This window comes from Homo sapiens, chromosome 5, assembly GCF_000001405.40.
Source record: "Homo sapiens chromosome 5, GRCh38.p14 Primary Assembly".
Classification (NCBI taxonomy): Eukaryota; Metazoa; Chordata; class Mammalia; order Primates; family Hominidae; genus Homo; species Homo sapiens.
This window is the reverse complement of record NC_000005.10, coordinates 154609959-154623994: the sequence shown is the minus strand read 5'-3', so window position 1 is coordinate 154623994 and position 14036 is coordinate 154609959. Positions and strand designations below refer to the sequence as shown.

The 14036-nt window shown below is 45.2% G+C and overlaps 2 annotated features.

The window, feature by feature from the left end:
• Positions 12044–12813: an enhancer, noted in NCBI's record as "H3K27ac-H3K4me1 hESC enhancer chr5:153990742-153991511 (GRCh37/hg19 assembly coordinates)". NCBI's record gives its function as "activates a minimal SCP1, AML or CMV promoter by ChIP-STARR-seq in naive H9 embryonic stem cells {active_cell/tissue: H9 hESC(naive)}" and the evidence as "EXISTENCE:reporter gene assay evidence [ECO:0000049][PMID:30033119]".
• Positions 13215–13264: a silencer, noted in NCBI's record as "silent region_16544". NCBI's record gives its function as "represses an Ori minimal core promoter by ATAC-STARR-seq in GM12878 lymphoblastoid cells {active_cell/tissue: GM12878}" and the evidence as "EXISTENCE:reporter gene assay evidence [ECO:0000049][PMID:35858748]".

The window sequence follows — 14036 nt, the reverse complement described above, 5'->3', positions numbered from 1 at the left end:
GGGTCTCCAGCCTGAATTAATAATGTACTTAATAAGTTTAATCCCAACCAGGCCTCCTCTAATTAGGGGTTGTGTCAGAAGCAGCTGTGGTTTGCTACTAGTCCTGGGGCCAGTTTTGTGTGTGTCAAAGTGGGCATGGTGGGGTGGGGGGTCCGTGGGGTCTTCCCTCAGTCTGTGTGGCTCCAGATGGGAAATTGTCCCTGCCAGGAGACCCCTGTGCCCAGGAGGCATCATGGTTGAGACCCCCAATTTAGCTGCATCATGGACTGTTTAACTCACCATCAAGCCTGTGCCTAACTTAGTCAGGAGCCCCAGAGAGTGACAACCAAGTTCCTGGACAAGAAGCATTTGTGTGTGTGTGTGTGTGTGTTTTAAGACAGGGTCTCACTCGGTCACCCAGGTTGGAATGCAGTGGCACGATCATGGCTCACTACAGCCTCAGCCTCCTGGGCTCAAACAATCCTCCTGCCTCAGCCACCTGAGACTACAGGAGAGTACCACCACATCTGGCTAATTTTTAAATTTTTTTGAAGAGATGGAGATCTCTCTATGTTGCCTAGGCTGGTCTTGAACTCCTGGGCTCTATATGATCCTCCCTCCTTTGCCTCCCAAAATGCTGTTATTACAAGCGTGAGCCACTGTGCCCAGCCTCATTTTTTTGTTGTTGCTGTTTTTAAGTTTTTTTTTGAAATTGTGAACATTTCCAAACATACACAAAAGTACAGAGTGCAACTGACATCCGTGTGTCCATTACCCAACTTCAATAAGCATCAACGTTTTGCCATACTTACTTCATCTAACCTTACCCATCTTTAATTTTCTGTTTTTTTAGGGGAGGGTATTGTAAAGCAAATCTCAGACACAGTGTCTGTCACCTCCAGAGTCATCAGTATGCATTTCAAAAAACAGAGAAATAATTTCTTGCATAATCTAGTCACAAAGTGATTATTACACTTACCAAAATTAAAAGTTCCTTATTGTCACCTGATACTCAAGTCAAATTAGAATTTTCAGAATGCCAAAAAAATCTGTGTTTACAGTTGGCTTATAGTAATGAAGGTCCAAACAAAGTCTACTCTTTGCATTGATTTGTTATTTGTTTTAAATCTTTTAAAAAGTGTTTAAAAATATACCACAGTTTCCCCCCACCTCATTTTCATGACATTGACTTGAACTTACAAAATTTCAACAAATATTTATTCAGTGCTTGCTTCTTCTATGCAAGGCACTGTGCTAAATGTTTTGCTTTTTTTTTATTGTTTTATTTTTTCTGAGACGGAGTTTCGCTCTTGTCGCCCAGGCTGGAGTGCAATGGCGCAATCTCGGCTCACCACAACCTCCATCTCCCAGGTTCAAGTGATTCTCCTGCCTCAGCCTCCCAAGTAGCTGGGACTACAGGTGCATGCTACCTTGCCTGGCTAATTTGTGTATTTTTAGTAGAGACAGGGTTTCGCCATGTTGGTCAGGCTGGTCTCGAACTCCTGACCTCAGGTGATCCACCTGCCTCAGCCTCCCAAAGTGCTGGGATAACAGGGTTGAGCCACGGTGCCGGACCTATTATTTTTATTTATTATTTATTTTTATTTTTTCAGAGATAGAGCCTCACTTTGTTGCCCAGTCTGGAGTGCAATGGTGCAATCCACTCTTGGATTGCTCACTGCAGCCTTGAACTCTTGGGTTCAATCAGTCCTCCTTGTTCTGCTATTATTATTATTATTTTGAGATGAAGTCTTGCTCTATTGCCCAGGCTGGGGTGCAGTGGCATGATCTCAACTCACTGCAATCTCCACTTCCCGGGTTCAGGCGATTCTCCAGCCTCAGCCTCCCAAGTAGCTGGGATTACTGGTGCGCACCACCCCGCCCGGCTACTTTTTGCATTTTTAGTAGAGATGGGGTTTCACCATGTTGGCCAGACTGGTCTCGAACTCCTGACCTCAGGTGATCCCCCGTCTTGGCCTCCCAAAGTGCTGGGATTACAGGCATGAGCCCCTGCGCCAGGCCATTTTGCTATTATTAATAACAATAATTACCATTTCTTGAGGACTTACTCTGTACTAGCATCATATATAATTTATGTCAAAATATCCTGAGACAGATAATATTGTCTCCTTTTTTATTTTAGTAGTGGAAGTGATGAAGACCAGAGAGACAAGTAACTCATCCAAGATCACACAGCAAGTGAGTAGCAGAATAGAGTTTTAAACCAAGCACTATTGGTTCCAAAGTTATTCCTTTTCATGATTCCCATGATACCCCCAGAAGCAGAGAGAGACAGCTTCCTCGCTCAGGAGTAGCTGGGGAGGGCACTTTGTGGAGAAAGACTCATGAAAGGGCTACTCCAGGGCCAGGATGCCTCAGCTGCTGAAAGCACATGTGAAAGTTCGTGTCTTATGGTGATTTGCTGGAATAAATTCTGCTTCCCAAGACCATGTGAAATGGGGTTTCAACAAGTAAGAAAAGGATGGAAAATGTGAAACACTGAACTTATTTTATTCTAAAGTAACCAGCTGATATGGTTTGGCTGTGTCCCCACCCAAATCTCATCTTGAACTGTAGCTCCCACAATTCCCACATGTTGTGGTAGGGACCCGGTGGGAGGTAACTGAACCATGGGGCCAGGTCTTTCCTGTGCTGCTCTCATGATAGTGAATAAATCTCACGAGATCTGATGGTTTTATAAAGGAGAGTTTCCCTGCACAAGTTCTGTTATTCTCTCTTGACTGCTGCCATGTAAGACACGTCTTTTGCCTTCTGCCATGATTGTGAGGCCTCCCCAGCCATGTGGAACTGTAAGTCCATTAAACCTCTTTTTCTTTACATATTACATAGTCTCAGTATGTCTTTATAAGCAGCGTGAAAACAGACTAATACACCAGCTATCTCTATGTATCTATTTGCTTTACCTAGGGTTGCACGTAAGCTGGCAGTTGCACAGTGGGTCAGAACATGGAACTTTATAACAAAATTTACTCTGTGGATTAGCCAAAATCTTTGAGCTGTGAGGAACATAAACCCAACTCTAATGGGCTTAAGCAAAAATTATGTATTGGCTCAGTTAACAGACAGGTTGAGGGGGATCTAACTTCAGGCCCAGGTGGCTCCGTGGGCCTGGTGATGTCAGTCATTGGGACTCCTCTTCATCTCAGCTCTGCTTTCCTCTGTGTTGGCTTCATTCTCTGACACACACTCTCCAGCAGGGTCATGGTGGCCATCAGCAGTTCTAGACCTAAATTCACAGCTTTGCAAACTCAGTTGAAAAAGAGAGCATTTATTTCTCAATATCTCTAGGGAAAATCCTGGACTTTATTTTCACTGTCCAGGCCTGCTCACGTACCCTGCCTTGGATCCTCATTCAGCCAAATGAATTGTGGTTGAAGAGGGCTGGTTTCACAGAAGGAAATGAGGAAGTTGTTATAGAGGAGAGGGAAATAGGTGCCTATCAGGCAAAACTGCACATGTTTCTGTGTTATTTCAGGATTGTGTTTTGCTGCATTCAACAGAAAACTCAATAACAATGCCTTTAAAAAGAGATTTTTTTGGTTTGTTTGTTTTGGTTTTGTACAAAACAAAAAAACTGAAGGTAGGTAGTTGTGGTGGTGGACCAGCAGGTAAAGGATGGCAAGACTGAGGTCACCGTGATGCTCCTAGCCTTTTTGATGAGATCTCAAGATGGCTGCTTCTACTTTAGCTTTCATGTCCTTACTCCAAGCAAGAGTCAAAACAAGACAGAAGGAGGAAGGGAAAATACATTTTTCATAAAAACCTCGAGATTTCCACTTGTGTTTCATGGGCCAATTTTACCTATAAGTTATGGGATAAGGGAACGTAATATTTTAGCCATGCACATTGCTGTTCCCACTGGAATTGGTGTTCTGTAAGTAAAGAGAAAAGAAAGAATAGTTATTTGGCCGGTAACTAGCAGTCCACTCGACTGCTACTGGCACTGCCCACTATACAGTGTCATTTTGGGACAGATATTTGGACTCACAGTGCTGGGTTCCAAGAGGGAGCATCCCAAGAGAAATATTCCAGGTCTAGGCAGAAGCAACACAGTCTTTTTTTTTTTTTTTTTTTTAAGAGATAGGGTATTGTTCTATTGTCCAGGCTGGAGTGCAGTGGCATGGTCATAGTTCACTGCAGCCTCCAACTCCTGTGCTTAGGCAATCCTCCTGCTTCAGGCTCCTGAGTAGCTAGAACCAGAGGTGTGTGCCACCACACCTAGCTAATTTTTAAATTTTTTGTAGAGACATGGTCTTGCTGTGTTGTCCAGGCTGGTCTTGAACTTCTGGCCTCAATTGATACCCCCACCTCAGCCTCCCAAAGTTCTGGGATTACAGGTGTGAGCCACTATGCCCAGCCTTACAAGACTTCTTATAACCTATCTTGGAATTCTTAGAATGTCACTGTGCCACATTCTATGGGTCAAATCACTCATTAGGGCCAGGACAGATTCTAGGGAAGAGGAGTTAGACACCCCCCTCAATGATGAAAGTAACTAAGATTTGGCTGCCATCTTTAATCCACCACACCCTCCCCGACCCTCCTTCTTCATTGTTTCGTCATCACCATCACCACTCCAGCTAGTATTAATTGAGCAACATCAATACCCCAGGCACCAAGGCAAGCTGTTTACACATTATCCTTATAACGTCCTTCCAAACATACATCAGCACTTGCCCACTTTACACAGGAGGAAGCTGAGGCTCAGGGAGCTTAAGGGAGTTTCCCAAGGTCAATGCATCTAGCAAACAGCATAACTGGACTTGAACCCAGTTCTGTTTGGTTCTTTGTCTGATTCCAAGGCTGGACTTTTTACCATTAGGCAAATTCTGGTCCCCTGACTTTACTCCATGTGACTATGCTGTGGGCTTTACAGAAGCCAGTGGCAAACCTGCCATACAGATCTCCTTGTTGACCACAAGGAACTCCCTGCTAATCCAGCTTCCAGTGCTTCTTAGCTTGTGGAGAACACAGGCATTCTAAAGCCAGCCATTGCCTAACCTCTCCTAACCATGGCACTTTACATTATTCTTTAGGGCCATTATGCTCTGGGGGATGCAATGGGACTTGCTTTCTGCCCACATCCATCTGCTGATTCATCTAACAAACATTTATTGAGCACTGACTATGTACCAGGAAACTGTGCTAAGTGCTTGTTTGTTGTAACTCAGAGCAGACCTGTGAGGTCTCAATTATCATTGCCCTCATTTCACAGATGAGACAGAGAGAGTGGGAACTTGCCTATGGCAGTTGCAATTTGAACTCAGGCAGTGACTCTGGAACCTGTTATTCTGTTCAAACAGCTGACAGTAGAGGGAGAAAGGTGGAGATATAAAACACAATAGTGAAGGGAAGATGTCCATTCAGAGAGGGGTGGATAAGTCTGCGGGGGGTATGGGCCCACTCTGGTATGCTGTGCGGTAATTAGAACACGGTGGGTGCTGATGCAGACAGGTCTCCTATGCATGCTATGAGGGAAAAAGCAAGGATGATACCAGTTATGCAAAATAAAATTCCACAAACAGTATCCTAGCTTTTAGGTATACCAGGGATATATTTGTAAATGCACTGAAATGTGTCTGGAAGAAATTACATTAAACAGGGGGGCAGGTTGTAAAGGGGACTAGTGATCCATTGCCATGTTTTCAGTTTTTACAGTGAAAATGTGTGCATAATTTTAAAAGAACAATCACCATGATGTGGTATATATGCTAAGAAAGAAGGGGAAGCCTAGAGTGCTGCGGGTGCCCAATCCAGTTGGAGGAAGTAGAAATCAGGGAAGGCTGGAGGAAGGGACTCTGAGCTGGATTTTGAAGAATGAGTACCGTTAACCAGATAGAGATCTGGATAAAAATGTTCTAAGCAGTGGGAACGAACAGCTTGTGCAAAGGCCCAGAAGGGTGATTGCACATGGTGTCAGGGAGCACAAGCCTAGCTCTTTCTAAAGTGTACCCCTGGGTGTATGTGAGTTTAAACTGCAGATTTCCACACCTTGCTCCAGAATCCATGGTGGGCCTGGGGATTAGCATTTTGACAAACTCCTTAGGCACACTGACTTTTTTTTTCAATTTTATTATTATTATACTTAAAGTTTTAGGGTACATGTGCACAATGTGCAGGTTAGTTACATATGTATACATGTACCATGCTGGTGTGCTGCACCCATTAACTCGTCATTTAGCATTAGGTATATCTCCTAATGCTATCCCTCCCCCCTCCCCCCACCCCACAACAGTCCCCAGAGTGTGATGTTCCCCTTCCTGTGTCCATGTGTTCTCACTGTTCAATTCCCACCTATGAGTGAGAATATGCGGTGTTTGGTTTTTTGTTCTTGCGATAGTTTACTGAGAATGATGATTTCCAATTTCATCCATGTCCCTACAAAGGACATGAACTCATCCTTTTTTATGGCTGCATAGTATTCCATGGTGTATATGTGCCACACTTTCTTAATCCAGTCTATCGTTGTTGGACATTTGGGTTGGTTCCAAGTCTTTGCTATTGTGAATAGAGCCGCAATAAACATACGTGTGCATGTGTCTTTATAGCAGCATGATTTATAGTCCTCTGGGTATACATCCAGTAATGGGATGGCTGGGTCAAATGGTATTTCTAGTTCTAGATCCCTGAGGAATCGCCAAACTGACTTCCACAATGGTTGAACTAGTTTACAGTCCCACCAACAGTGTAAAACTGTTCCTATTTCTCCACATCCTCTCCAGCATCTGTTGTTTCCTGACATTTTAATGATTGCCATTCTAGCTGGAGTGAGATGGTATCTCATTGTGGTTTTGATTTGCATTTCTCTGATGGCCAGTGATGGTGAGCATTTTTTCATGTGTTTTTTGGCTGCATAAATGTCTTCTTTTGAGAAGTGTCTGTTCATGTCCTTTGCCCACTTTTTGATGGGGTTGTTTGTTTTTTTCTTGTAAATTTGTTTGAGTTCATTGTAGATTCTGGATATTAGCCCTTTGTCAGATGAGTAGGTTGCGAAAATTTTCTCCCATTTTGTAGGTTGCCTGTTCACTCTGATGGTAGTTTCTTTTGCTGTGCAGAAGCTCTTTAGTTTAATTAGATCCCATTTGTCAATTTTGGCTTTCGTTGCCATTGCTTTTGGTGTTTTAGACATGAAGTCCTTGCCCATGCCTATGTCCTGAATGGTATTGCCTAGGTTTTCTTCTAGGGTTTTTATGGTTTTAGGTCTAACGTTTAAGTCTTTAATCCACCTTGAATTCATTTTTGTATAAGGTGTAAGGAAGGGATCCAGTTTCAGCTTTCTCCATATGGCTAGCCGGTTTTCCCAGCACCATTTATTAAATAGGGAATCCTTTCCCCATTGCTTGTTTTTGTCAGGTTTGTCAAAGATCAGGTAGTTGTAGATATGTGGCGTTATTTCTGAGGGCTCTGTTCTGTTCCATTGGTCTATATCTCTGTTTTGGTACCAGTACCATGCTGTTTTGGTTACTGTAGCCTTGTAGTAGAGTTTGAAGTCAGGTAGTGTGATGCCTCCAGCTTTGTTCTTTTGGCTTAGGATTGACTTGGCAATGCGGGCTCTTTTTTGGTGCCATATGAACTTTAAAGTAGTTTTTTCCAATTCTGTGAAGAAAGTCATTGGTAGCTTGATGGAGATGGCATTGAATCTATAAATTACCTTGGGCAGTATGGCCATTTTCACGATATTGATTCTTCCTATCCATGAGCATGGAATGTTCTTCCATTTGTTTGTATCCTCTTTTATTTCATTGAGCAATGGTTTTTAGTTCTCCCTGAAGAGGTCCTTCACGTCCCTTGTAAGTTGGATTCCTAAGTATTTTATTATCTTTGAAGCAATTGTCAATGGGAGTTCACCCATGATTTGGCTCTCTGTTTGTCTGTTATTGGTGTATAAGAATGCTTGTGATTTTTGTACATTGATTTTGTATCCTGAGACTTTGCTGAAGTTGCTTATCAGCTTAAGGAGATTTTGGGCTGAGACAATGGGGTTTTCTAGATATACAGTCATGTCATCTGCAAACAGGGACAATTTGACTTCCTCTTCTCCTAATTGAATACCCTTTATTTCCTTCTCCTGCCTAATTGCCCTGGCCAGAACTTCCAACACTATGTTGAATAGGAGTGGTGAGAGAAGGCATCCCTGTCTTGAGGCACACTGACTTTTGAGATCCCTGCCATGAGCTGAAAGGGCACTTGGAGATCATTTAGTTCAATTCCATCAGTAGGATGAGACTGGGACCCAGAGAGAAGCAGGGACTTGCCAAAGGCTACAAGGCAGTCAGTGGTTGAAATGGGGTACTCCTGGACCCCCGTACTCTGTCCTTGCTTTCCTAAACACACTCCTTGTATCAAAGTTCCTACTGTGGCACACTCACAGTCCCATTGATATCACAGGATCAGGGAGTGGTTTTCATGGTTTTATTTGAGCCACTGTTGTCATGCTGCATAGTGGTTCAGTCTGAGTCCCTGGGTAGTTAATAGGAGTAATAAAAATAGCTATCATTTATTTATTGAGGACATATGATGAGCCCGGTACTTAGGTGCTATCTATGGTTTATCTTATTTAGCATTCCTGAAAATTGTATAGAGTAGGCATTGGTATTTCTTTTTTTTTGAGACAGAGTCTAACTCTGTCGCCCAGGCTGGAGTGCAGTGGCGTGATCTCAGCTCACTGCAACCTCCGCCTCCCAGGTTCAAGCAATTCTCTTGCCTCAGCCTCCCGAGAAGCTGGGATTACAGATGCCCGCCACCAAGCCTGGCTAATTTTTTGTATTTTTGGTAGAGATGGGGTTTCACCGTGCTGGCCAGGCTGATCTTGAACTCCCGACCTCATGATCCACCCTCCTCGGCCTCCCAAAGTGGTATTGGTATTTCTATCTCTATCTCACAATTGGAGGAGTTGAAGCTCAGAGCAGTCACAACACTTGTCTGAGGTCACAGGGCTGCAGGAGGCGGAGCTGTGATTTTCACCCAGGCTTTCCTCCTGTGCGCTGGGTGGTTCCCTGAATATTGGCCAGGGGAGGAAGCATCACTATGCTACATCACATTTTTACCACCTAAATGTGATTAATAAACCAACAATTATTTCCAAGGAAACATAAAGGTGAATGATGAAGCATGGTGACATGCAAAAAGCTCAGGTTGTGAGTCAGAAGATTGAAGAGCTCATCCTAGCTTTCTCATGAACTGGCTGTGTGACCTTGGGTGAGTTCCTCTCCCTCTCTGAGCCTCAGCTTTCTTGGAAAGGATTTCTAAACCCAGATAAGCTTAAGAATCACTGGCGGAGCTTTGGCCCACAGATCACACAGCGCCTGGAGAGGGTGCAGTGACAAGCATGCTGGGCTGGGATCCTGGAGATCTGAATTCTTCTTTTAAAATAAGGCATAATTACTTACAGTGAAAGTCACCTTTGTTATGGTTCCACAAGTATGGCCCTGCAAATTTTGATGAATGCAGAAGTCATGTAACCAACATCACAATCAAGACATAGAATAATTTAATTATCCCCCAATTCCTGTGTGAACCCTTCTGCCCACTCTCTTTAGTCCCCAAAGTTTTGCCTTTTGCAGATGTTCTATACACAGAATCATAGAGTATGTAGCCTTTTGAGTCTTCTTTTGCTCAGCATAATACATACAGGAACCATGTTTATTGCTGAGTAGTGTTCCACTGCATGGATGTACCACGATTTGTTTATCCATTCCCCAGTTGAAGGACATTTGGGTTCTTTTCAGTTCTTGCTGATTACAAATAAAGCTACTACAAACATTTATATACAGATTTTTGTGTGAATATAAATTTTCATTTCAGTTGGTAAATAAATGAGTAGAAATGGGATTGTTGGGTTTTGTTATTATTATTCAAAGTAGGACTATCACCCTCAAATCACCAAACATGTTGGGGCTAAACGTGAAAGGTCACTGGCCCTTAGGGAATATCATTTCTTTTTTTTTTTTATTTGAGATGGAGTTTTGCTTTTGTCACCCGGGCTGGAGTCCAGTGGTGCAGTCTCAACTTACTGCAACTTCCGCCTTCTGGTTTCAAGTGATTCTCCTGCCTCAGCCTCCTGAGGAGCTGGGATTACAGGCGCCCACCCCCACACCAGCTAATTTTTGTATTTTTAGTAGAGACAGGCTTTCACCATGTTGGCCAGGCTGGTCTTGAACTCCTGACCTCAGGTGATCCACCCGCCTCAGCCTCCTAAAGTGCAGGGATTACAGGTGTGAGCCACCGCACTTTGGCAAGGAATGTCATTTCTATTGTGCTCACTCCCCTTCCTGGCTGCCACGGCCCCATTACATGTTATTATTATTATTATTAAAGAGAGGGTCTTGCTCTGTCATCCAGGCTGCAGTATAGTGGCCAGATCCTAGCTCACTGCAACCCCAAACTCCTGGGCTCAAGAAACCCTCCCACCTCAGCCTCATGAGTAGCTGGGACCACAGATGTGCACCACCATTCTTGGCTAATTTCTAATTTTTTTGTAGAGATGGGACGGGGCGGTCTCACTGTGTTGCCCAGGCTTGTCTCAAACTCGTAGCCTCAAGTGATCCTACCATGTCGGCTGCCCAAAGTTTTGAGATTACAGATGTGAGTACTGCCCCCACCCTTCTGGGGTTTTATTGTAAGTATATGTTTAACTTTATAAGAAACTGTGAGACTGTAATCCAAAGTGCCTGCACCATTTTGTATTCCCATCAGCAATGCATCAGAGTTCTAGCTGCTCTGCATCTCCATCAGCACTTGGTATTGTTGGCTTTCCGTTCCCATTTTAGTCATTTTTTTTTTTTTTTTTTGAGACAGGGTTTCGCTCTTGTTGCCCAGGCTGGAGTGCAATGGCATGATCTCGGCTCACCACAACCTCTGCCTCCTGGGTTCAAGTGATTCTCCTGCCTCAGCCTCCCAAGTAGCTGGGAGTACAGGCATGCGCCATGATGCCCTGCTAATTTTGTATTTTTAGCAGAGATGGGGTTTCTCCATGTTGGTCAGGTCAGTCTCGAACTCCTGACCTCAGATGATCTGCCCACCTCAGCTTCCCAAAGTGCTGGGATTATAGGCGTGAGCCACCACGCCTGGCCCCAGTTTAGTCATTCTAGTAAATGTGTAGTGGTATTTCATTATTATCTTAATTTGCATTTCCCTAATGACTAATGGTGAGCCTCTTTGCAAGTGCTTATTTGTCATTCAAACATTTTCTTTGGTGAAGTGTCTGTTCAAGTCTTTTGACCATTTAAAAATTGGATTGTTTGTTTTTGTATTACTGATTTTTACAAGCTCTTTATATATGTTTGATACAACTTATATATCGGATATACGACTTGTAAATATTTCTCAATATGTGGCTTTTTTTATCCTCTTAACAATGTCTTTTGAAGGACAGAAGTTTTTAATTTCAATAAAGTCCATCAATTTCATTTTATTTTTTTGAGACAAAATCTCACTCTGTTGCCCAGGCTGTAATGCAGTGGCACAAATTTCGGCTCACTGCAACCTCTGCCTCCCAGGTTCAAGTGATTCTCGTGCCTCAGTCTCCCAAGTAGCTAGGACTACAGGCATGCGCCACCATGCCTGGCTAATTTTTAGTATTTTTAGTAGAGGTGAGGTTTCACCATGTTGGCCAGGCTGGTCTCAAACTCCTGACCTCAAATGATTCACCTGCCTTGGCTTCCCAAAGTGCTGAGATTATAGGTGTTAGCCACCACGCCTGGCCCAATTTATCAATTTCAGAAAACAGATTGTGATTTTGGTATTATGTCTAACAACTCCTCACCTAGGAGATCTGAACTTTTGACGTGGTTCTACCACTGACTGGCAGTGTGATTTTGAGCAAGCGACTCTCTAGACTTCTTTTTCTCCAGCTTACAAAGACAGAGCTGGAATACAGGTCTCTAAAAACCTGTCCAACTCTGCTATTTTAAGTTTAAATAGCATCCTAAGAATAATCATTTTAAAGACCCTATAATAACTATACTTCCCATTTTATGAATATTTAACAATGACCAGGCATAGCGGCCCCGGGCTTTAGTGCATTATCTCTTCATTCTCACATCTTCTCCCAGGAGTAAGTACTATTATTATTCCCATTTCGCAGTGGAAGACACAGAGGTCGCTTGTCTAAGGGCACTTACTGTTCAGAGCAGAGCTAGGATTCAAACACTGGCAATCTAAGTGGTGGTGGCGTTGATGACAGTGGTGTGATCATAGGTGAAGGGTACCATTTGAACTGGCTGATTAGTTTGAGAAGGGTGGGGATGAGCAGAGGGTGGGAAGATACGCCCCCCTCCTCGTGAGAAGGAAGGCGGGGCGGACGGACAGGGGCGGGGATTTGCTGGCCGAAATTTACAGCCCTTAAGTTCGTAAAATTCTTGCTCCCCACTGTTTGTCACTGGGGCCCTTCCCAACTCCCTCCCTTGGTGGCTTCAAAAGGACCCAGCTGAGCCCTTAGTACCAAAGTGTGGGGGAAGTTGTGGGAGCTGAGTGGGAAACCGGATGGGCTCTCTGTGCCTGAAGGCCAGGCCGTGCCTTGCGCATGTGTGTGTGTACGTGTGTGCGTTCTCGGACTGTGTGTACACGCGGGTGTGTGGCCCGTCCGCGGCTCGGCCCTTCTGTGAGGGCGCTGCTCTCCAGCGTGGGGAGGCGGGGATGGCAAATCATAGTGACAGTGTCTGTGCCTGGGGCGAGTGTGACTGAGATTGGCGTGCCTGTGTGTGTCGCTAGAAATGTTCTATTTTATTAATTTAATACATTTCATTTTCATTTTTAAACAGTATTTATTTATTTTATTTATTTAACACATAGTCGTGTGCCAGGTGCTTGGAATCCGGGGGATGGGGCACGCAGTCCAGGCTCTGTCCTCCCTCCAGGAGCTGACGGTGAGGGGATGGGGAGGATTGAGGGGAGAAACATTAAACAAATGAAGCCAGAAAACAAAACAAAACAAAAAACCCCAGGAACTTGCTGGGCGCGTGGGCGTGGGTATGGGCCCGGGAGTGTGTGCGCCCGGCAGGTGAAACGGGGATCGGAGCACCTGCTCTGCCCTGCGCCGTGGGCGCCCGGTGGTGGAGCAGGCAGCTGTGGGTTTTGCTTTGGTGAGGAACAAGGCCGAGCCTGGAACTCGTCTTGAACCCCGAGGGACTGGGTCCCAGGCTCAGGGTCCACTCGCCCAGTGACAGCTCCTCCACGGGGGACGCAGCGTGGCCAGCTGCCGTGGCTGAGCCGGTCCCGTCCCTCACAGAAGGGATTTATTTCCTGGCTCCCCCGGCTCTCTGGAAGCCTCCAAACCATGCTAATGGGCAGAGGGAGACTGCCGTGTCGAAGTTACGGATGCGAAGGTCCGGCCCGCGGCGGCGGGGGTTGGGGTTGGGGCTCGTCCCGCGTGCTGCAGGGAGGGAGTCGGGGCAGGGCTGAGGCTGGCACTCGGGGCTCTGGAGTCCTTCACCCCAGGACGGCAGGGTGCGACATTCTCCCACTGGACCAGCAGGTGACGCTGGAGGCCAGGGCTACGCAGGCCCGGGCGCTTTGGGTTCTGGGGAAAGAGGACAAACATCGCAGTTGCACTTAGGCGTCTCGCCGTGCTCAGGACCATGTGCTCGGGCCTTTCACGATGAAGTTGTTCAACCCTCCCATGGTCTTGTTTATTATCCCATAACTTAGGCTTAGAGATGATTTTTTTTTTTTTTTCTTTGGAGACGGACTCTCGCTCTGTCGCCAGGCTGGAGTGCAGTGGCGGGATCTCTGCTCACTGCAACCTCCGCCTCCCGGGTTCAAGCGATTCTCCTGCCTCAGCCTCCCAAATAGCTGGGACTACAGGCGCCCGCCACCATGCCGAGCTAATTTTTGTATTTTTAGTAGAGATGGGGTTTCACCATGTTAGCCAAAATGGTCTCTATCTCTTGACCTTGTGATCCCCCGACCTCGGCCTCCCAAAGTGCTGGGATTACAGGCGTGAGCCACTGCACTCGGCCGTAAGTAGCTTTCTTATGGTCACCCAGTTTGTGTGTGGCAGGAACATGGCCCAAGCCCAGTTCAGAGTGCGCGAAACA